General features: G+C 37.7%; 1 protein-coding gene across 6 annotated transcripts in view, besides 1 other annotated feature; it reads right to left on the bottom strand.

Moving 5' to 3' along the window:
• The window catches only part of CFAP299 (cilia and flagella associated protein 299), a 642486-nt gene that overhangs the window by 607093 nt on the left and 11478 nt on the right, over positions 1 to 23915 (bottom strand). For 4 of the 6 annotated variants that reach the window (XM_017007976.2, XM_047449975.1, XM_017007977.2 and 1 more), the window contains exon 2: positions 20779 to 20914. In XM_017007976.2, coding sequence (XP_016863465.1) covers positions 20779 to 20914 — 136 coding nt within the window. Of the gene's footprint in view, positions 1 to 20778; positions 20929 to 23915 lie in introns of those variants that run through there. The other 2 variants (NM_001206997.2, NM_152770.3) reach the window with 1 other exon arrangement.
• Positions 20787 to 20936: an enhancer, noted in NCBI's record as "active region_21654". NCBI's record gives its function as "activates an Ori minimal core promoter by ATAC-STARR-seq in GM12878 lymphoblastoid cells {active_cell/tissue: GM12878}" and the evidence as "EXISTENCE:reporter gene assay evidence [ECO:0000049][PMID:35858748]".

Genomic DNA, 23915 nt, shown 5'->3' with positions numbered 1-23915 from the left:
TCCTAAACACCAACAACAGACAAGCAGAGAGACAAATTAGGAATGTACTCCCATGCACTATTGCCACAAAAAGAATAAAACACATAGGAATACAGCTAACAAGGGAGGTGAAGGAACTCTTCAAGGAGAACTACAAACCACTGCTCAAGGAAATTAGACAGGACACAAGCAGACGGAAAAACACTTCATGCTCATGGATAGGAAGAATCAATGTCGTGAAAATGGCCATACTGCCCAAAGCAATTTATAGATTCAATGCTATTCCCATTAAACTATCACTGAAATTTTTCACAGAATTAAAAGAAACTATTTTAAAATACATATGGAACTAAAAGAAGGGCTCATATAGTCAGGATAATCCTAAGCAAAAAGAACAAAGCTGGAGGCATCACGGTACCTGACTTCAAACTATAAGGCTACAGTAACCGAAACAGCATGGTACTGGTACAAAAACAGGCACATAGACCAATGGAACAGAATGGAGAACTCAGAAATAAAGCCACATGTCTACAACCATCTAATCTTTGATAAATCTGACAAAAAAAAAAACAATGGGGAAAGGATTCCCTATTTAACAAATGGTGCTGGAAGAACAGGCTAGCCATAAGCAGAAAATTGAAACTGGACCCATTCCTTACACCATACACAAAAATTAATTCAAGATGGATTAAAGACTTAAATGTAAAACCCAAAACTATAACAACCCTAGAAGAAAATCTAGGCAATACCATTCAGGACATAGGCATAAGCAAAGGTTTTATGATGAAATCACAAAAGCAACTGCAACAAAAGCAAAAATTGACAAATGAGATTTAATTAAACTAAAGGGCTTCTGCATAGCAAAAGAAACTATCATCAGAGCAAACAGACAACCTATAGAATGGGAGAAAAAACTATCATCAGAGTGAACAGACAGCCTAAGCAGAATAGGAGAAAATTTTTGCAAATTATGCATCCAACAGAGGTTTAATAACCAGCATCTATAAGGAACGTAAACTTACAAGAAAAAAACAATCAACCCCATTAAAAAGCAAAGGACATTGGGAGGCCGAGGCAGATGGATCATGAGGTCAGAAGTTCGAGACCAGCCTGTCCAAATGGTGAAACCCAGTCTCTACTAAAAATACAAAACATTAGTCAGGTGTGGTGGCATGCGCCTGTAATCCCAGCTACTCAGGAGGCTGAGGCAGGAGAATTGCTCGAACCCGGGAGGCGGAGGTTGCAGTGAGCCGAGATCGCGCCACTGCATTCCACCCTGGGTGACAGAGCGAGACTCTGTCTCAAAAAAAAAAAAAAAAAAAAAGCAAAGGACATGAACACTTTTCAAAAGAAGACATACATGTGACCAACAATCACATTTTAAAAAGTTCAACATCACTGATTATTAGAGAACGGCAAATCAAATCCAAACCTAAATGAGATACCATCTCATGCCAATCGGAATGGCTACTACTAAAAAGTCAAAAAATAACAGATGCCGGCAAACTTGCGGAGAAAAAAGGAACACTTATACATTGTTGGTGGGAGTGTAAATTAGTTCAATCGTTGTAGAAGATAGTGCAGCAATTCCTCAAAGACCTAAAAATAGAAATACCATTCGTCCCAGAAATATCATCGCTGGACATATGCCCAAAAGAATATAAATCATTCTATTATAAATATACATGCACATGTATATTCATTGCAGCACTATTCACAACAGTGAATCAATCTAGATTCAATCTAAATGCCCATTAATTACCAACTGGATAAAGAAAATGTGGTACATATATACCATAGAACACTATGCAGCTATAAAATGAGTAAGATCATGTCCTTTGCAGGGAAATGGATGGAGCTGGAGACCATTATTCTTAGCAAACTAACACAGGAACAGAAAATCAAATACCACATGTTATTACTTACAAGTAGGAGCTAAACAGTGAGAACACATGGACATATAGAGGGAAAAAACACACACTGGCAGCTATCAGAGGGAGGAGGATGGGAGAAGGAAGAAGATCAGGAAAAACTACTATGGGTACTAGGTTTAATACCTGGGTGAAGAAATAATCTGTACAACAAATCCCCATGACACTTTTAGCTATATAGCAAACCTGTACATGTAACCCTGAACTTGAAATAAAAGTGAAAAAAAAGTCATATATATGCTTTAAAAATCAAAATATGTTGTAATTAATAAAGTTCAAATAAAGGTCATTGAAAAGTTTGCAGATTTAATCATTTAAACATTTTACCAAAAAAAGTGAATCATGCTGTGTAAAATCTCTCATGACCTACTTCTTCAACATTTAACTGTACATCTTGAACACCTTTCCATTAAGTATATATACAATAAAACTTTAGTGATTACATATTCCAGACAATTTGTAAGGACAGATATTGTACATAATTATTGTGCCTTCAGGTCACTGCCTTCCTCTGAAATGAAAATGATATGAAATCCTAATTTGATTTGTATTGCTTTGATTACTAGTGAGATTCACCATCTGTTCACACATTTATCAGTCATGTGCATTTCTTCCTTTTGAATTGTTTTGAATTATTAAATGAACCCTTTGCTCATTTATTACTAACTAGTAACAACTTTGTGTGTGTAATAAATATATTAAATAAGTGTCTGCAAAATATCTGCAAACAGTCTTCTTAGGTCATTGTTTTCCTGAAACTCTTAATAGTTCTTACTCCAAAACGTTCAAAGCATTTAGGATATATTTTGGTGCCTGGTGTTGAAAGAGAAATACTTTTACTTATTCAAAAAGTTTTTTTATTCCAAAAGACACAGCTGAAACATTGTTAAGTATTGCTTCTTTTCTCCACTGATTTGAAATTTTACATTTCTTTATACTCAATTCTTAAGTATATTAGAGGTGATTTCTCTATTTCTATTCTGTACTATTAATTAGTTTCTCTGCCCTTTCAACCGTATCACAGATAGTGTAGATACTGCCCTCTCAACCTGCCCAGGGAGAAAGCCCCACAACAATTTGTTTGACCTCCACAGATTTCAAGCTTCACTTGTATCAAGCTAACTGCTTCCAGGAACAGCTACTTGACTCAAGATAGAAAGGTTAGAGTTGGGAGTGTCAGAAAGCATGGCATACTCAAATGCCATCTTCTACTAATTTTTGGCAATCTGGATAATTTATAATACCACATTTCTTAATGTTAAAACAATATGACATTTTTGGAATAAGCTTATTGCAGGAGGTGTCTCCCCACAACAGACTTTGGGATGTGGATTTGTGTGCAGAAAATTTACTGGAGAGCACTCTCAGAATTTGCACTCCCACAGGGGTGAAGAAAGCAGGATTGGGCAGTGAGATAATTTATAACAGGGCCTCAGCAGCTCTGGAGTTGGATGGTCCTTTCGAGTTGACCCAAATTGATTAAAGTGGCCACATCTTTTTATCCACAATAAGCAGTAATTTAAAGAGAACTGCCCCAAGAAGGGAGTATGACTTTGGAAGAGATGTTTAGGGTGACTACAATCAGCCTAGTAAGGGGTTTGTCAATTTTATTGATATTTTATAAAAGTAACTTTTGATAGCATTGATCTCTATTATTTTTCAATTTTCTACTTCACTGATTTCTGCTCTTTGTTATTCCTTCTGTCTACTTGCTTGGACTCAATTTGTATTGTTTTAAAGCTTCTTAAGGTAGAAGCTACTATCATTAATTTCTAGACCTTTCTCCTTTCCCCATATAAACTTTTAAAACTGTGAAGTTCCCTCTATAGATTCCTTTATGTATATCCAATAAACATTTATATATTTTGTTTTCTTTTTTACTCAAATCAAATTTTTTTCTAATTTTTCTTTTAATTTCTTTTTTGACATTGCGTTATTTAGAACTATGTTGTTTATTATCCAAATATTTTGGAATTTGAGGGGTATATTCCTATAGTTGATTTCTAGTTTTAATTGTTATGATCACAGAATATACTTTTGTATGATTTCAGTATTTTAAATGTATTGAGACTTGTTTTATGACCCTGCATATGGTCCTTCTTCATAAATGTCCCATGTGCATTTGAAAAGAATAGGTATTCTATTATTGTGTGAACTGCTCTTTTATTTATTTATTTTTTTGAGACAGAGTCTCACTCTGTCGCCCAAGCTGGAGTGCACTGGCACAATCTTGGCTCACTGCAACCTCCGCCTCTTGGGTTCAAGGGATTCTCCTGCCTCAGTCTCCCAAGTAGCTGGGATTACAGGTGTGCACCACTGTCCCCGCATAATTTCTGTATTTTAGTAGAGACGGGGTTTCACCATGTGGGCCAGGCTGGTCTCGAACTCCTGATATCAAGTAATTCACCCACATCAGCCTCCCAAAGTGCTGGGATTACAGGTGTGAGTCACTGCACCTGGCCTTTGACTGCTCTTTAAATCTTTTACATACTTACATTTATTCTAACTTCTGGTTCTATCAATTACTGAAAACAGAATGTTTATGTCTCTAGAAACAATTGTGAATTTGTCTACTCTTTCAATTCTTATCAATTTTGCATAACGCATTTTGAGGATCTGGCATGAGGCATGTAAGCTAATGTATTGATTGACTCATTTATCTATATTAAAAAGTCCTTCTTTTTCCCTGAAATACTTCTAGTTCTGAGGTCTACTTTGCCTGATATTAATATAGACATTATAAATCTCCTTTTCTTTATGCTTGTATAATACATATTTCCCATCCTTTTAATCTATTTAAAATTATCTATTAATGTTAATATAAAATTAACATTATATTAACATTATTTATAAATCATAATTATTAATAAATCATTAATTATAAAACAATTTAATGTATTAACATTAATAGATTGTTAATTTAATGTTATTAATATATTACTATAACTATAACATTAATATTAATCTTAATGTTTTATTATTAATCTGTTAATGTTAATACATTTACATTAAATTGTTGTATTTATATTTAAGGTGGGACAGCATATATGGCTCTTGAACTTTTATCTATTCTGACCATCTCTGCTTTTAAATTGAAATGTTTAGATCATTTACATTTAATGTAATTTTCAGTATGGTTGGGTTTTAATATACTACCTTGTTATTTCTTTCTTATTAGTCCCATTTGCTTTGATATTTGATTATTTTTGCTTTCTATTTTTTGTTTCTTATTTCCATTTTATCTCCACTATTACATTTTTAGTTATATGTCTACTTTATTTTTCAGCAGGTACTCTGTGATTTACAAGAATTATTAGCTTATTACATTCTACTTTCAAATAATATTACACCATCTCAAGTATAAGAACCCATTGCAACATTATCCTCTGCTATCTTTTGTGCTATTGTTGTTTCATACTGTATTTCTGTGCATGTTATAAACCACAAAATGCAATGTCATTATTTTTCTTTAAATAATCAATAATCTTTAAATATAAAACTGAGAAAAAATTTGTATTCACATATTTAGCATTTCTGGTGCTTTTCATTCATTTTCATTTTGATCCAAGTTTCCTGCTTATATATAATTTTCCTTCAACCTGAAGAACTTCATTAAACATTTCTAGTAATATATATCTGCTAACAACAAATTATCCTGGCTGGAAAATAAATTATCTCACCTTACTCTTTTCTTCTGATACAGTGTTCTAGGTTGACTTTTTTCAAATCTTTCAGCACTTTAAAGATGCCGTTCATTTTTCTATGGCTTGCATTGTTTCTTTTTTTTTATTTACTTATTTTTTACTTTAAGTTCTGGGATACATGTGCAGAAAGTGCAGCTTTGTTACATAGGTATACATGTGCCATGGTGGTTTGCTGCACCTATCAATCCATCATCTAGGTTTTCAGCCCCGCAAGCATTAGCCATTTGTCCTAATGCTCTCCCTCCCCTTTCCCTCCACCCCCAACAGGCCCGGGTGTGTAATATTCCCCTCTGTGTGTCCGTGCGTTCTCATTGTTCAGCTCCCACTTATTAGTGAGAACATGTGGTGTTTGGTTTTCTGTTCCTGTGTTAGTTTGCCGAGGATGACAGCTTCCAGCTTCATCCATGTCCCTGCAAAGGACATGAACTCATTGTTTTGTATGGCTGCATAGTATTCCATGGTGTATATGTGCTACGTTTTCTTTATCCAGTATATCATTGGTGGCATTTGGGTTTGTTCCAAGTCTTTGCTATTGTAAATAGTACTGCAATAAACATATATGTGCATGTGTCTTTATAGTAGAATGATTTATAATCCTTTGGGTATATACCCAGTAATGGGATTGCTGGGTAATATTCAGTCATTCCTGTTTTTGGTTTACTTTATAATGTGTTCTTTTACTTTTGTTTTTAAGATTTTCTCTTTATCACTAGTTTTCAGTGATTTTATTAAAACATTCCTTCGTGTAGTTTTCTTTGCATTTATTCTGCTTGGAATTCATTGAACTTCTTGGCTCTGTGGGTTTGTACTTTTCATAAAATTTGGAAAATGTTTAGCTATTACCGTTTAAAATATATTTTATTCCTTCCTTCCCTTTGTTCATTTTGGACTCCATTTAAATGTATGTTAGACTGTTTGACATTGCCCCACAGGTTACTGAGGCTGTGTTCATTTTTGTTTATGTCTTTTGTTATTATCTTATTCATTGCTGGTGAACAGAGTTGTTTTCACTCAATTTTCAACTTCCTTTCTAAACTCACTTATTTGTTAAAATAGGATTTCAGCATTTTTTCTTGTATGTTCATTGTAGATAATCATATTGCCTATATGTAATTATATTCTGACTCTTTTCAAATATTTATGACACTTTCCTTAAATTGCAGCACTGCACTGCTAGACTGCCAATAAAACATTACTAGTAGTAGCAACCATTTTTATCATGTTTCTAATTCTAATGCTAACCATTCAAGTGTTTAAACACTGAGTATGACGTTTCCTATAAGTGTTTGAAAATACTCCTTATCAAGTTATAGTAAGAATGGCTTTAGAATTTTATCTATGCTTTTTCTTCATCTATAGAAATAATCTTTTTTTCTTTTTACATTTAATATCATGAGTTCCTCGTTGCAGTCCTATAACAAATCATACTATTTTCACTCTGACATTATTATTTCTTAATATATTCTTGGATTCATTTTAAATTTCTTTCATCCAGTTCATAAGTAAAATTAGTCTTCAGCTTTCTACTTTGTTTTGCTTTTTAAAAATTGATGTCAGGGCTATGCATGTCCTGTAACATTTGAGAAACTCTCATCCTTTATTTGTGCTAATTTTTATTTATACAAGTCAGACATAAATATATTCTCCATGTGAAATATTAAAACATGGCATATGTAGTGAATTTGTATTGCATCAAATTATCTAAGCTGAAACTTCATTTCCCATAATTTTACTTACTTGGATAGTTACATGTCAGGGTGAACCACAAGAGACATTTGTAATACATTTAGAAAGGAGAAGTGAAGGAGCAGCAATATTGTTTTGGCTTTTGGAGGCTCTCTTCCTTAAGCTTCTCCAACATCTGTGTCAAGTGCATGGTTAGCTCTGTGACTAAAGGTGCCAGCTTCTCCTGCAGAATGCCCCTACCATTAAAATTGTATGGCAGGCAGGGTCACGAGCACCTGACAGACGTTTCATTCTGTCCTCATGGATTCTAGGTTATCCTTGCAGGTCTCAGTGTGACTTCAGGCTCCAGGACCAGACACCAATTCATCACTATTTCATCAACCGTGTTAACAGCTCTCATGTTGTGTAAGGTCAAAACTCTATAAAATAAATTATGTGCACTCATGTCTGTCTGTGTGTGTAGTCCATGGAATGTAGAAGCAAAACTTATTTAGTTTATCACCTTTAGACACCTGAAATAAAGATGAGATTTTAGGTAAACATGTGTTTGCTGCTATATTAGTTTGGGATTCCTCGGTATTTCATATATATGGGAGCCAGGGCTCCCATAAGAAAATACCACAAACTGGGTAGCTCAAATCACAGAAATTTATTTTCTCACAGTTCTGAAGGTCGAACAGCAAGGTGTTGGCAGGTTGGGTTTTTTCTGAGAACTTTCTTCTTGAATTGCAGATGGCCAAGTTCTCACTCAAACTCTTACTGGCGTGAGATGGTATCTCATTGTGGTTTGATTTGCATTTCCCTAATGATCAGTGATGTTGAGCTTTTTTTATATGTTTGTTGGCTGCATGAATGTCTACTATTGAGAAGTGTTTGTTCATGTCCTTTGCCCAGTTTTTAATGGGATTGTTTTATTCTTGTAAATTTGTTTAAGTTTCTTGTAGATTCTGGATATTAGACCTTTGTCAGACGGATAGATTGCAAAAATTTTCTACAATTCTGTATGTTGTCTGTTCACTCTAATTTTCATTTGCTATGTAAAAGCTCTTTAATGAGATCCCATTTGTCAATTTTTGCTTTTGCTGCAATTGCTTTTGGTGTTTTCATCATGAAATCTTTGCCCATGCTGACGTCCTGAGTGTTACTGCCTAGATTTTCTTTTAGGGTTGTTATTGTTTTGGGTTTTACATTTAAGTCTTTAATCAATCTTGAGCTAATTTTTGTATATGGTGTACAGAGGGGATCCAGTTTCAATTTTTCTGCATATAACTAACCAGTTCTCCCAACGCCATTTATTAAATAGGGAATCCTTTCTCCATTGCTATTGTCAGGTTTGTCAAAGATGAGATGGTTGTAGGTGGGTGGTCTTATTCTATCTTCTCTATTCTGATCTATTGCTCAGTTCTCTATTCTGTTCTGTTGCTCTGTGTGTCTGGTTTTGTATCATTATCATGCTGTTTTGGTTACTGTAGCCTTATAGTTTGAAGTCAGGTACCATAATGCCTCCAGCTTTTATCTTTATGCTTAGGATTGTCTTGGCTATGTGAGCTCTTTTTGGTTCTATATGTTTTTTAAAATAGTTTCTTTTAATTCTGTGAAGAATGTCAATGGTAGCTTAATGGGAATAGCATTGTATCTATAAATTACTTTGGGCAGCATGGCCATTTTTACAACATTAATTCTTCCTATCCATGAGCATGGAAGGTTTTTCCATTTGTTTGTATCCTCTCTGATTTCCTTGAGCAGAGGTTTGTAGTTCTCCTTGAAGAGGTCCTTCACTTTCCTTGTTAGCTCTATTCTTAGGCACTTCATTCTTTTTATAGCAATTGTAAATGAGAGTTCATACATGATTCGGCTCTTTGCTTGCCTGTTGTTGGTGTATAGGAATGTTAGCAATTTTGCACATTGCTTTTGTATCCTGAGACTTTGCTGAAGTTGCATATCAGCTTAAGAAACTGTGGGCTGTACTGAATGGGAAAATACTGGAAGCATTCCCTTTAAAAATCAGCACAAGACACGGATGCCTTCTCTCACCACTCCTATTCAACATAGTGTTAGAAGTTCTGGCCAGGGCAGTCAAGCAAGAGAAAGAATTAAAGGGTATTCAAATAGGAAAAGAAGAAGTCAAATTGTCCCTGTTTGCAGATGACATGATTGTATATTTAGAAAACCCCATCGTCTCAGTCCAAAATCTCCTTAAGCTGATAAGCAACTTCAGCAAAGTCTCAGGATACAAAATCAATGTGCAAAATTCACAAGCATTCCTAAACACCAATAACAGACAAACAGAGAGCTAAATCATGAGTGAACTCCCATTCACAATGGCTACAAAGAGAATAAAATACCTAGGAATGCAACTTAAAAGGGATGTGAAGGATCTCTTCAAGGAGAACTACAAACCACTGCTCAACAAAATAAAAGAGGACACAAACAAATGGAAGAACATTCCATGATCACGGATAGGAAGAATCAATATTGTGAAAATGGCCATACTGCCCAAGGTAATTTATAGATTCAATGTCATCCCCATCAAGCTACCAATGACTTTCTTCACAGAATTGGAAAAAACTACTTTAAAGTTCATATGGAACCAAAAAAGAGCCCGCATCGCCAAGTCAATCCTAAGCCAAAAGAACAAAGCTGGAGGCATCATGCTACCTGACTTCAAACTACTACAAGGCTACAGTAACCAAAACAGCATGGTACTGGTACCAAAACAGAGATATAGACCAAGGGAACAGAACAGGGGCCTAAGAAATAACACCACACATATGCAACCATCTGATCTTTGACAAACTTGACAAAAACAAGCACTGGGGAAAGGATTCCCTATTTAATAAATGGTGCTGGGAAAACTGTCTGGCCATATGTAGAAAGCTGAAACTGGATCCCTTCCTTACACCTTATACAAAAATTAATTCAAAATGGATTAAAGACTTAAATGTTAGACCTGAAACCAGAAAAACCCTGGAAGAAAACCTAGTCAATACCATTCAAGACATAGGCATGAGCAAGGACTTCATGACAAAAACACCAAAAGCAATGGCAACAAAAGCCAAAATAGACAAATGGGATCTCATTAAACTAAAGAGCTTCTGCACAGCAAAAGAAACTACCATCAGAGTGAAGAGGCAACCTACAGAATGGAAGAAAATTTTTGCAATCTACCCATCTGACAAAAGGCTAATATCCAGAATCTAGAAAGAACTTAAACAAATTTTCAAGAAAAAATCAAACAACCCCATCAAAAAGTGGACAAAGGATATGAGCAGACACTTCTCAAAAGAAGACATTTATGCAGCCAACAGACACATGAAAAATGCTCATCATCAGTGGTCATCAGAGAAATGCAAATCAAAACCATAATGAGATACCATCTCACACCAGTTAGAATGGCAATCATTAAAAAGTCAGGAAAAAACAGATGCTGGAGAGGATGTGGAGAAATAGGAACGCTTTTACACTGTTGGTGGGAGTGTAAATTAGTTCAACCATTGTGGAAGACAGTGTGGTGATTCCTCAAGGATCTAGAACTAGAAATACCATTTGACCCAGTGATCCCATTACTGGGTACATACCCAAAGGATTATAAATCATGCTACTATAAAGACACATGCACACATATGTTTATTGTGGCGCTATTCACAAAAGCAAAGACTTGAAACCAACATAAATGTCCATCAGTGATAGACTGGATTAAGAAAATATGGCACATAGACACCATGGAATACTATGCAGCCATAAAAAAGGATGCATTCATGTCCTTTGTAGGGACATGGATGAAACTGGAAACCATCATTCTCAGCAAACTATCACAAGGACAGAAAACCAATCACTGCATGTTCTCACTCAAAGGAGGGAACTGAACAATGAGAACACTTGGACACAGGGAGGGGAACATCACACACCGGGGTCTGTCATGGGTTGGGGGGAGGGGGGAGGGATAGCATTGGGAGAAATACCCACTGTAAATGACTAGTTAATGGGTGCAGCACACCAACATGGCACATATATACATATGTAACAAACCTGCACGTTATGCACATGTACCCTAGAACTTAAAGTATAATAATAATAATAATAATAACAAAAAGAAACTGTTGGGCTGGGACAATGGGATTTTCTAGATATAGGATCATGTCATCTGCAAACAAACATCACTTGACTTCCTCTCTCACTATTTGAAAACCCTTCATTTCTTTCTCTTGCCTGATTGCCCTGGTCAGAACTTTCAATACTATGTTGAATAGGAGTAATGAGAGAGAGGACATCCTTGTCTTGTGCCAGTTTTCATGGGGAATACTTCCAGCTTTTGCCCATTCAGTATGATATTGTCTGTGGGCTTGACATATATTGCTCTTATTATTTTGATTTATGTTTCTTCAATATCTAGTTTACTGAGAGTAACATAAAGGGATGTTGAATTTTATTGAAGGTCTTTTCTGCATCTATTGAGATAATCATGTGGTTTTTTATTTTAGTTATGTTTATATGATGAATTACATCTATTAATTTGCCTATGTTGAACCAACCTTGCATCCCAAGGATGAAGCCAACTTGACTGTGATGGATAAGGTTTCTTATGTACTGCTGGATTCAGTTTGCCAGTATTTTATTGAGGATTTTGGATTGATATTCATCAGGGATATTGGACTGAAGTTTTCTTTTTTTGTTGTATATCTGCCAAGTTATGGTATCAGGATAATACTGGCTTTATAAACAGGGAGGAGTTCCCCTTTTTCAATTTTTTGAAATAGTTTCATTAGAAATGATATCAGCTCTTCTTTATACCTCTGGTAGAATTCAGGTGTAAATACATCTGGTCTTGGGCTTTTTTTGATTGGTAGGCTGTTTATTGTTGCTTCAATTTCAGAATTTGTTATTGTTCTACTCAGGGATTCAATTTCTTCCTGGTTCAGTCTTGGGAGGGTGTATTTGTCCAGAAATTTATACATTTCTTCTAGATTTTCTATTTTCTGCACGAAGAGGTGTTCATAATATTATCTGATGGTTGTATTTTTGTGGGGTCAGTGGTGATATCTTCCTTATCATTTCTGATTGTGTCCATTTGATTCTCTCTCTCTCTCTTTTTTTTTTACTAGTCTAGGTAGCAGTCTATCTATCTTATTAATTTTTTCAAAAAACTAGTTCCTGGATTTGTTGATTTTTTTGAAGAGTTGTTCATGTTTCTATCTCCTTCAGTTCAGCTCTGATGTTGGTTATTTCCTGTCTTCTGCCAGCTTTGTGGTTTGTTTGCTCTTGGTACTCTGGTTCTTTTAGTTGTGTTGTCAGGTTGTTAACTTGAGATCTTTTTAGTCTTTTGATGCAGGCATTTAGTGCTACAAATTTCTCTCTTCACACTGCTTTGGCAGGATCCCAGAGATTCTGGTACATTGTCTCCTTGTTCTCATTAGTTACAAATAGCTTCTTGATTTCTACCTTAATTTCATTATTCACCCAGGAGTCATTCAAAAGCAGGTTATTCAGTTTCCATTTAGTTGTGTGGTGTTGAGTGAATTTCATAGTCTTGAGTTCTTTTTTTTTTTTTTTTTTTTTTTAGACGGAGTCTCGCTCTGTCGCCCAGGCCGGACCGGACTGCGGACTGCAGTGGCGCAATCTCGGCTCACTGCAAGCTCCACTTCCCGGGTTCACGCCATTCTCCTGCCTCAGCCTCCCGAGTAGCTGGGACTACAGGCGCCCGCCACCGCGCCTGGCTAATTTTTTGTATTTTTAGTAGAGACGGGGTTTCACCTTGTTAGCCAGGATGGTCTCGATCTCCTGACCTCATGATCCACCCGCCTCGGCCTCCCAAAGTGCTGGGATTACAGGCGTGAGCCACCATGCCCAGCCGTCTTGAGTTCTAATTTGATTGCACTGTGGTCTGATAGACTGTTATTATTTCAGTTCTTTTGCATTTGCTGAAGAGTGTTTTACTTCCAAATATGTGATCAATTTTAGGGTAAGTGCCATGTGACAATGAGAAGAATGTATATTCTGTTGTTTGGGTTGAGAGTTCTGTAGGTGTCTATGAGGTCCACTAGTTCCAGAGCTGAGTTCAGGTCCTGAATATCTTTGTTAATTTTCTGTCTCAATGATCTGTCTAATATTGCCAGTAGGGTGTTAATGTCTCTCACCATTATTGTGTGAAATTCTAAGTCTCTTTGTAGGTCTCTAAGAACTTGCTTTATGAATCTGGGTGCTCCTGTATTAGGTGCATATATATTTAAGATAGTTAGCTCTTCTTATTGAGTTGAACCCTTTCTCATTATGTACATCCCTTCTTTGTCTTTTTAAATCTTTGTTGTTTTAAAGTCTGCTTTGTCAGAAACTAGGATTGCAACCCCTGCTTTTTTCTGTTTTCCATTTTCTTGGTAAGTATTTCTCCATCCCTTTATTTTGAGCCTATGTGTGTCACTGCACATGAGATGGGTCTCTTGAATACAGCATAGCAATGGGTCATGACTCTTTATCCAGATTGCCATTCTGTGTCTTTTAATTGGAGCATTTAGCCCACTTACATTAAGTTTAATATTGTTATGTGAGAATTTGATCCTATCATCATGATGCTAGCTGGTTATTTTGCAGACTTGTTTATGTGGTTGCTTCATAGTGTCATTAGTTGGTGTACTGTGTACTTCAGTGTGTTTTTGTAGTGGCTGGTAATGATTTTTCCTTTCCATATTTAGTGCTTTCTTTAGGAACTCTTGCAAAGCAGGCCTGGTGGTGATGAATTTCCTCAGCATTTGCTTGTCTGAAAAGGATCTTATTTCTCCTGTGCTAATGAAGCTTAGCTTGGCTGGAAATGAAATTCTAGATTGGAAATTCTTTTCTTGAAGAATGTTGAACATTGGTCTGCAATCTCTTCTGGCTTGTAGGGTTTCCACTGAGAGGTCCACTGTCAGTCTAATAGGTTTCCCTTTGTAGGTGACCTGGCCTTTCTCTGCGGCTGCCTTTAACATTTTTTCTTTAATTTCAACCTTGGAGAATCTGAGGATTATGTGTCTTGAGGTTGATCTTCTTGTGGAATATCTTACTAGAGTTGTCTGTATTTCCTGAACCTGAATGTTGGCCTATCTTCTTAGGCTCAGGAAGTTCTCCTGGATGATATCCTGAAGTATGTTTTCAAACTTGGTTCGGTTCTTCCAGTTTCTTTCAGGTACCCCAATCAGTCGTAGGTTCAGTCTTTTTACATAGTCTCATATTTCTCACAGGTTTTGTTTGTTCCTTTTCGTTCTTTTTTCTCTGTTCTTGCCTGCCTGTCTTCTTTCAGAAAGATGGTCTTCAATCTCTGAGAGTCTTTCCTCTGGTTGGTCTATTCTGCTATTGATACTTGTGATTACATTGTGAATTTCTTGTGTTTTTCATCTCCATCAGGTCAGTGATGCTCCTCTCTTACCCAGCTATTCTTGCTATCAGCTCCTGTACTGTTTTATCATGATTCTAGCTTCTTTTCATTGGGTTACAACATGCTCCTTTAGCTCAGCAAAGCTCATTATTACCCAACTTGTGAAGCCTACCTCTGCCAATTCAGGCAGCTCAGCCTCAGCCCAATTCTGTGCCCTTGCTGGAGACCTGTTGCAGTTATTTGGAGGAAAAGAAGGCACTCTGGCTTTTCGAGTTTCAGCATTTTTGCAATGACTGTTTCTCACATTTTGTGGCTTATCTAACTTTAATTTTTGAAGATGCTGAACTTTAAATGGGGTTTTTATGGGGTCTTTGTTGTTGTTGTTTCTTTCTATTTTTCTTTTAAATCTCAGGCCATTCTTCCATAGGGCTGCTTGTTGGGGGATCACTGCAGACCCTAGGTGCCTCGGTTTTTCCCTTACCTGAAGGTATCACCAGTGAAGGCTGTGAAACAGCAAAGATGGCAGCCTTCTCCTTCCTCCGGGAGCTCCATCCCAGTGGAGTACTGACCTGTTGCTGGCCCAGACCCTCCTGTAGGAGGTGTCTGGAGACCCCTGTTGAGAGACCTCAGTCAGGAAGGATGGGATCAAGAGCCCACTGAAAGAAGCAGTCTGGTTGCTTTTTGGTAGAGCAGGTGTGCTGCGTTGGGGGATCCTTCCTCATCCACACTGCCTGGACTCTCCAGAGCCAGCAAGCTAGAAAGGCTGAGTCAACTGAACTGCAGAGACATTGGCTGCTTCTCCCCTCAGAGGCTCTTTCCCAGGAAGAGATCAGAGTTCTGTCTGTATAACCCTGGCTGGAGTTGCTGAAATTCCTGCAGGGAGGCCCCTGCCCAGTGGGAAGGAATGGATTGGAATCTAACTCAAAGAAGCAGTCTGGGCCAGGCACGGTGGCTCACACCTGTAATCCTGGCACTTTGGGAGGCCAAGGCGGGTGGATCACCTGAGGTCAGGAGTTCAAGACCAGCCTGACCAACACAGTGAAACCCTGTCTCTACTAAAAATACAAAAATTAGCTGGGTGTGGTGGTGCATACCTGTAATTCCAGCTACTTGGGAGGCTGGGGCAGTAAAATTGCTTGAACCTGAGAGGCGGAGGTTGCTGTGAGCCGAGATCGCACCATTGCACTCCAGCCTGGGCAAAAAGAGTGAAACTCCAAAAAAAAAAATAATAAAATAAAATAAAGGAGTGTTATGGCCACATTCTGGAACAGCAGCTGTGCTGCATTGTGAGGGGTGAGGGACTCCTCCTGTCAGGGCCACCTAGACTCCCCAGAGCCAGAAGGCTAGAACTGAGTTGCCCAATCTGCAAAAATGTCAGCCACCTGTCCCCCTGGGAATTTGTCCATCTTAGGCAGTCTCCAGTCTACTGCACTAGCCAACTGGAATTCTAAGCGAGTGGGTCTTAGCTTGTGAGGTGCAAGGGAAGTGGGGCCTGCAGAATGACACTGCTTGACTCCCTGAATCTCCTAGAGGAATATAAGGATGAAACTCCCACCTTGTCAGGATTCCCAAGGCTGGAGACTGAAAAACTCCTGGGTCTCTGTGTGAGCCTCTGTGTGAGCCTGAGTGACTACTCTGCTGAGACTTTGCACAGTTCTGAGTATTGGATGGAAGGCCCTGGTAAAGTGGCCTCCTGAGGGGATCTCCTGATCTGTGGGTTGCAACGATCTGTGGGAGAAGTGTGGTTTCCAAGGCAGGGTTGCACAATCACTCACAGCTTCCTTTGGCTGGGAATGAGGGATCCTTTGGCTCTGTCTCACCCTGCTTTTCTTCATTATCCATGGGTCGAGTTGATTGCCTAGTGAGTCCCAAAGTGAAAACTTGGATATTTCAGTTGAAGGTGCCAAATTCACTCTCCATTTTCATTCTTCTCCATGACAGCCATGGACTGCAGTTGCTTCTAGTCAGCCATCTTGGCCCCTCCCCATTTCTATTTTATAAATAATGGGAAGACAATGCCCTAAGTGAAACTCCATGTTGTTTATCTCTGTAAATACTTTAGCCATTACTGCTATCCATTAGTCAGAGACATTTTAAATAATTCCAACACTCTTTGATCCTTTACCTGAGAAAAGCAGGTTAATTAGGACTTTTATTTTTCCAGTGGTCATAGGCACCTTTATTAAAATAAAGGGCCTGTGTTTATTTAAATAGAAGAATTACTAAGAAAGAACCTGGAAAATTATATTGTAATAATTTTGCCAAAACTTTTCAACTATTTCTATATTGATTTAGGGAATTAAGTTAATTAGGTTAGATAATACTAACTCCCAGAACAAATATATTTCTTTGGGTTAGCAGAGGAAAATCTAATTGCTGATACAGTGATGCATTTCTTTTGATGCTTTGAAGCTATTCAGTAAAATAAGCAAAGCACAGTGTACATAGCATAAAGTGCTTCTTTTATTCTTCTGAGCCACCTTACTCCTCTCTAGCTTATCAAATAATTAACTGGGGTTAGTTTCCTTTTTTCCACATTTCTCTTTCTTCCTAAGCAAGCATTATGTAAAAAGTTGTGTGGTTATTAGATTCATACACTATTTGTGTACTTACTGTGATCTGAGATGTTAAATAATTATATTGTGGTCAGGGTAATGGCAGCAAATTGTTGGCAAACTCACGACCAAAAAGAATAAAAGCACTATTTACAAAGATACGGGCAAAATTAATGGAAACCAACATGGGATCGTGAAGCATCCTTGGGTTAGCAACAGTGGGAAGCCATTAACACCATTTGGCATAAAAGAAGATAAGGGAGGAAGCAATTCCTAGAGCAGGGAGTGCTGCCAGACCCTGGAGAGAGTGCTATAGCTAATGGAATGAGAAGATGGCCAAACCTAAGGAAGGTAGCTGCTTCTAAACCACAGACAGTAGGAAGATGGCAGGGAATAAATTATCTAACCACTTCCTTCCAGCCCCCTGCACTCCAGTTGGTACCTCCTATTGGCTGAAACCAACCCAAAGCCAAAAGCTCCTGATTAATGACTGTGAAGGTCATTGTCCAGGGGCACAGAATGGATCTGGCACAGATTATATGATTATTTGTATGTCAATCATTGGTACTAACTTTTTATGCAGATTAACTGAAAACTTTTGGGAGCAGAATATACTACACAATACAAGAGTACCTGGAAGATAGTAAATGTTTGTAAAATGCTTGCTGAATAAATAAAACTTAGACCGGACTGTAAGCATTATATACTTAGGTTTCTGAGGTCAAGTCTAGAATAGATTCTTACTTAAACTCTTAGCAGTGTAGGCAATATCCACTACATCAGGCGCTTGGTGAAGGATTATCGACTAAAAAGGTGGCTGGATAAATACATGGGTGTACAGATAATCAGATGAAAGTATAGATAACTCATAACATTTTATATACTTTAGGAAACTTGAATAATCTAGTCCAACTGTTTCATTTTGTAGGTAAAAAATGGAATTTCAAGTTGATTAAAAACACAATATTGCAGAGTTAGAACCAAAAAAAAATCTTGTGACTCTAGCCTCTTCTAACTAAACATGCTACCTCTAATTTACAGTTTACAATTTGTTTCATTCAAATAAATTCAAGAGATCTCTTGTATAACATTGTGACTACAGTTAATAACAATATATTATGTTCTTTTAAAATGTCAAGAAAATAGATTTTTAAGTGTTCTCACCACAAAAAAATGATAATTATGTGAGGTAATACATATGTTAACTTGATTTAGCCATTCCACAATATATATAATTTAAAACATCATGTTGTATATGATAAATATCGACAATTTTGTTAGTTAAAATAAAATGTTTTAAAAGTTGTTCCATTCAAATCAAAGTCAGTTACTGATGATGATGATGTGTGTGAGAGAGAGAGAGAGGAAAAGCACAAGTATCAGCTCACTTAGCATGATCCATGATTTGTGAAACATGCTTGCCATACTACTGAAAGAATGCTGAGGAGTCTACTTGTTTCTGTGTGACCTAAGTGCACAATGAACTTACATCCACAGAAAGTATTTGAGAATGTAGATCTCTAGAAATAATAGCACTTTAAAAGTTGTCACTAATCAATCCAAATATATACATATATATGTAAACATATATATACCTGTCTAATTATCATTATTCAACTAAATCTTCATCTTACTTTTTATGAAAGTACAACAAAAATAAGCTTAATCAATGCCAAATATAAAAGTAAATTTCTTTGTCATTTCCCCAAATATAATTACCACCTTCCATTTTGGAAACCTTTAATGAATTCTGATTGATGGGCTGGGTGTGGTGGCTCACACCTGTAATTCCAGCACTTTGGGAGGCTGAGGCCGGTGGATCACTTGAGGTCAGGAGTTCGAGACCAGCCTGGCCAACATGGTGAAACCCTGTCTCTGCTAAAAATACAAAAATTAGCTGGGTATGGTGGTGCAGACCTGTAATCCCAGAAACTTGGGAGGCTGAGGCAAGAGAATCACTTGAACCTGGGGAGCGGAGGTTGCAGTGAGCCGAGATGGGGCCACTGCACTCTGGCCTGGGCCACAGAGTGAAACTCTATCTCAAAAAAAAAAAAAAAAATTCTGATTGATGAAACACAAATTATTAATTTCACATCTGTAATTAATATTAATGTTTTAGGTCCATACTCACATGAAGAACTGTGCCTTAAAAAATATTAAAACCTTTCTTAATAATACTAGGTTTAAATTTGCCAATCTTCCACATATGCTACAAAGATGATTTTAGTCTATCAAGATGTTTATAGCGTATATTTCATTTTTTGTTTATTTAAACATTCAAAAATTTAGATGTAAACATTGTTTAGCAGCATTACTTTTTCAGTGTCTTGGATGCAAGGCATAAACTGACTTTTATGACTTTAAATATATTATCTGTATAATGTTTTAAAATTTTGCTTTTGAAGCCAGGAGCTATATTGGAAATACCACCTACATTTATTTTTTAAATGTACTGAAGAATAACACTTTTGAAACCTGTAATCCATATTTAAGTGAAATGCCTCTGTAACCAATCTTTGAAGTCCAAAAGTGTCAATCCACTAAAATGCAGTTACCTTGTTGCAGTTCAGAAGTGTGGGGAGCTGGTGGCAGGATGCAAATCCTTCCCAGACTGATGTGGCTTTTCACCACATAGTGGCGCCTGTTCTCTCTGGCCTAAATAGGGATAAGGCATTTCTGGGTCCTGTGGAGAGCACGGCCGACTCTCCAGGTGAGTGTCCATTCAGTGGGCCTATCCGGGAAGTTTGGCTAGGAATATACTGGGACTTTAGGAGCCATCGTCCGCCTCCCAGCTTCCTAGCACTGATGACTTGTTAATTCCTGCGCGTCCGGGTTCTCCCGTGGCACAGGACAAGAACTCCACTCTGTCCCCCACCACCCTGCAGCGGGGGTAGCTGGGGAGGGGATTGGCTGTTGGGCAGAGGAAAGCAACCCATTAGGTCCAGTTTCGCTCCTTTTTTGTGTGTATATTTTTACTATCAAAGTTAGTTGTGATCATCAACTCGATAAACTTGAATCAGGAATATGTCTGCACAACTACCTGTAATGCGTCTCTGTAATTAAAGTACTTTCAGAATCAATTAGTGTGAGGTGGAAGTTCATGAACCCAAACGCCCAATATAACACCAAATACACTAGGTTGGTGTAAAGATGCCATCTTCTGTTCTTTAATATACCAATTGGCAAAGCAGAGAGAAACAGGTGTCTGTCCTAGATCACAGCCGGAGACTTCTCAGCAGACCTCCTTCCTCACAGAGAGCGGCTTTGGAATGGGAGTGGGCTGGGAGGAGGCAGGGGAGGCCAAGAAGCACAAATTCATGGCTCCCCAGTGTGAGTGTGCCCGCGCGTTTCTGCGCTGGGTGACTCTAGGGGCCCAAGTTCTGTCCGGACCGGGGAGCGCGGGGCGGTAAGGACGCGGCAATTCACCTCGCCAGCGGCTTTAGTGTCGCGGTCCCGAAACCGCGGCGCCTGACAGCTGAGCTGTCCAGCGCCAGGGGGCGACCAGCCCACGAAGCGGGAACTCGAGGAGGGACCGAGGGACGCGCGGCGGCGGCTACTCTGCCGCGCTCCGCCCTTACCTCCAGGTAGTACAAGTCCACAGTAGTGATCTGCGAGTCCAGGAAATCTTCATAGGCGTTGAATTGAGTGACAATATTGTCCAAGGCCTTCAGCCCCTCTTCCTGATCCATTGCGGTATCCTCGGCCGAAGCGTCCCTAGCAACGGAAGCAGGAGGGCAGGGTCAGGAGGCTCCACCCACTTCGTTCCTGCCAATCAGTTGAAGCCGGTGTGAGCTTTGGACGTTAATCCCACCCCCCGGCGGTTTGTTGCAGTTTCTGTCTTCTGCCTCACTCCTGTGAAAACTTTCTGGAATTACCCACCCAAGTTCAGGTCGGATACCCATCCACCGACTCAGGCTTCAGTGAACTGTTGAGCAACCAGAGAGGTGCAAACTGCAATCCAAAGTTAAAAAGTATGACACTGCCTACATACTTAGACAAAATATTAGGAATTAGCTCCCAATTGCATTCTAAAACAATGTTATGCAAGACAAAAATACCGAGACATTTTGCAAAAAGACTGTCTCAAAAACAAGTATATCAAATGGTGTTGTGACAACGACAATAATAAAATAATGATTTTGTTAAATTATTTTTAAAGTTATAACAAAGGTAAATTATTGCTAATGTTTGTGTACAAGAAGCAATTTATGAAATTCCCAAAGGAAAGAAACTCAGTCAAAAAAATGTCTTTGCAGACCTTTTTTGGCACCAAGTTCTTGCACTTATTTTACTATTTTAGCACAGTGAAAAATTTTGCTGTGTTGAAGCTGCCCTTTTTAAAGAATAAAATATCTGTGAAATCTTATTAAATAAAGTCTTTCACTAAAGATTTTTTGTTTTCTTCAGAACAGTATTGTGTTTTTAAAATATGAATTTAAAGTAATCCAACACAACAGCTGGCAAAATATGTTCAGAACCAATCTTTGGATTTTAATATTTTACAAACCATCCTTGGGAATTAGCATATAATACAATGCTAAGCCTTTAATTGTTGCTCTGTAAGTACGTTTCTAATTCATCTTGAAGATTTTCACAGATTTGCTAACAAAATTTTAATGAAAACATCTGGTAAGATACTTCATTTCAGTTAGCTTTCCTAATTTAAAAAGTTCATCTTAAAAATTAGGATGTCATGACTTGCAAATTTTAAGTGATATAGACACAATATTTAGGATGCTACTAACTTGTTTTTTTGTTTGTTTAATGAATGTATTCTGACATGTTTTTAAAGATATTTTGGGCCTTATTTTTGAATGCAATTTAATTATTGAATTTGGGAAAACAAAAAGGAGATAAAACCTTGGACACTGGTAACCCATCAAAAGTAATAATAGGCCAGGTACAGTGACTCCCAGCACTTTGGGAGGCCGAGGTGGGTGGATCACGAGGTCAGGAGTTCAAGACCAGACTGGCCAACATGGTGAAATTCCGTCTCTACTAAAATTACAAAAATTAGCTAGGCATGATGGTGGGCGCCTGTAATCCCAGCTACTCAGGAAGCTGAGGCAGAAGAATCCTCCTATATCAAGATTTCATCACTTTTAAGAAACAGTAAAGCATCTAGAGAATGTTTGGGTTTATTAAACTAGAGCACTTTAATGAAAAGGACCTATATGTTAGTAAAATGTGAGGTCATGGTTTGGCTATATATTGTTCTATTATATCAATTGTGATTGTGCATTTTTTAGAGAAACCTCATTAAATTTGCCATTTGGTCAACATCTCTTTGATGAAGTAATCTCTACAGCATCTAAATTTAAACAATCATGAAATTATTTTCAGTCAATGAGTCTAGAAATGTCTTCTAACTCAAAACACTGAGGCTGATTTTCAGCAAATCAGCTTCTCTATTAATATCAAGAAAATTCATAAACTTATCCTTGTTCCTCACAGTAAGGCTAGAATTAATAGTGCGTATAACTCAATTGTCCTTTTCTAAACTTTCAATTTAACTTCAGAACCACTTTCAGACCTGTGCCTGAGAAATGAAAGGGTGGCAACAAAGAAATTAGTAAGTTTCGGCAAGCTTCTCTTTTCATTGCAAGGCTTTTGTTATGATCAAGAAATACTTTATTTTGGATAACATGCATTCCTACTTCAAGTCCAAGATTTTTAAAGACTGAAACCTGGAATTTAGCACCGATCCCAGAAATTCCATTCTTTGCAAAAGGACAAAGAAGGATTAGTATATTCATAATAAAACCCCAAGATGTAGGAAAGAGGAAACATATGTTATGTAAGAATAACAAAATATATGCCAGATTTAAGGTACTTACTTGGTGGAAGTATATTAAAAAGTTTCAAATTAAGCTCTACACTTTTATATTCCAAAATATTTGGCAATATACTATGATAGCTGACACAGTGAAAGGAAAACATACTTTGGTTTGTTGACATGACAGGAAGGGAATGTTTTGCTTATGTTAATAAGAACTTGAGGATCTATTAAGACGTTCTATTAATATGTTATCATATTGTAGGAAAAAAACATATACTTACTCTAATAGGACAAGAGATTTGTGTCTGGTGTTGCCTAGCTGCTTGTTAACTATGACTGCAGATGAGGGCTATTGCTTAATCATCAGCCAAGGAGAGCTTTTTTGCACTTAGAAACAATGGTGATACTAAATTTACTTGAGCTATTTCTCGTGATGAGATCGCTGGACTTCCTCACAGTCTCAGTTATTCTAGGATGCTGGAGTTCTGGTTCCACTGCTTCTCTGTCCTGGAGACACAATGTGTTCATGTGTCATAATCCGGGAGTTTGCTCCTGCCTTGTCATTGACAGTGTGAAAGGAAAATTTCAGAAGAGAGAAATACAAGTATAAGATGGAATTCCTCCCAGGACTGGGGTTGACAGATGTCTGCAGCTAATAAAGATTGAAAACTACTACTGTGCTATGGGATAGATGATGGGTATGATCACCACAACCACCACTTTGGAACAGAGAAAAACTTGGGCTCTCTGTGGCTCTATAAGGCATTACCAAAAACCTCACTGAAAATTCCCTCAAGCTTTTTGGCTACATGGAAATCAGCCTCTACCCTAAAACTCCACTCCCCCTGAGTGGGCAAACAATCAGAACATAGCACCTGTGAATAGACGGCCACCACAATAAATGTGGAGCTGCCAGTTGCAAGCAGGTGCCCAGCA

This window comes from Homo sapiens, chromosome 4 (genome assembly GCF_000001405.40).
Source record: "Homo sapiens chromosome 4, GRCh38.p14 Primary Assembly".
Lineage (NCBI taxonomy): Eukaryota > Metazoa > Chordata > Mammalia > Primates > Hominidae > Homo > Homo sapiens.
This window is presented reverse-complemented; position numbering and strand designations above follow the sequence as displayed.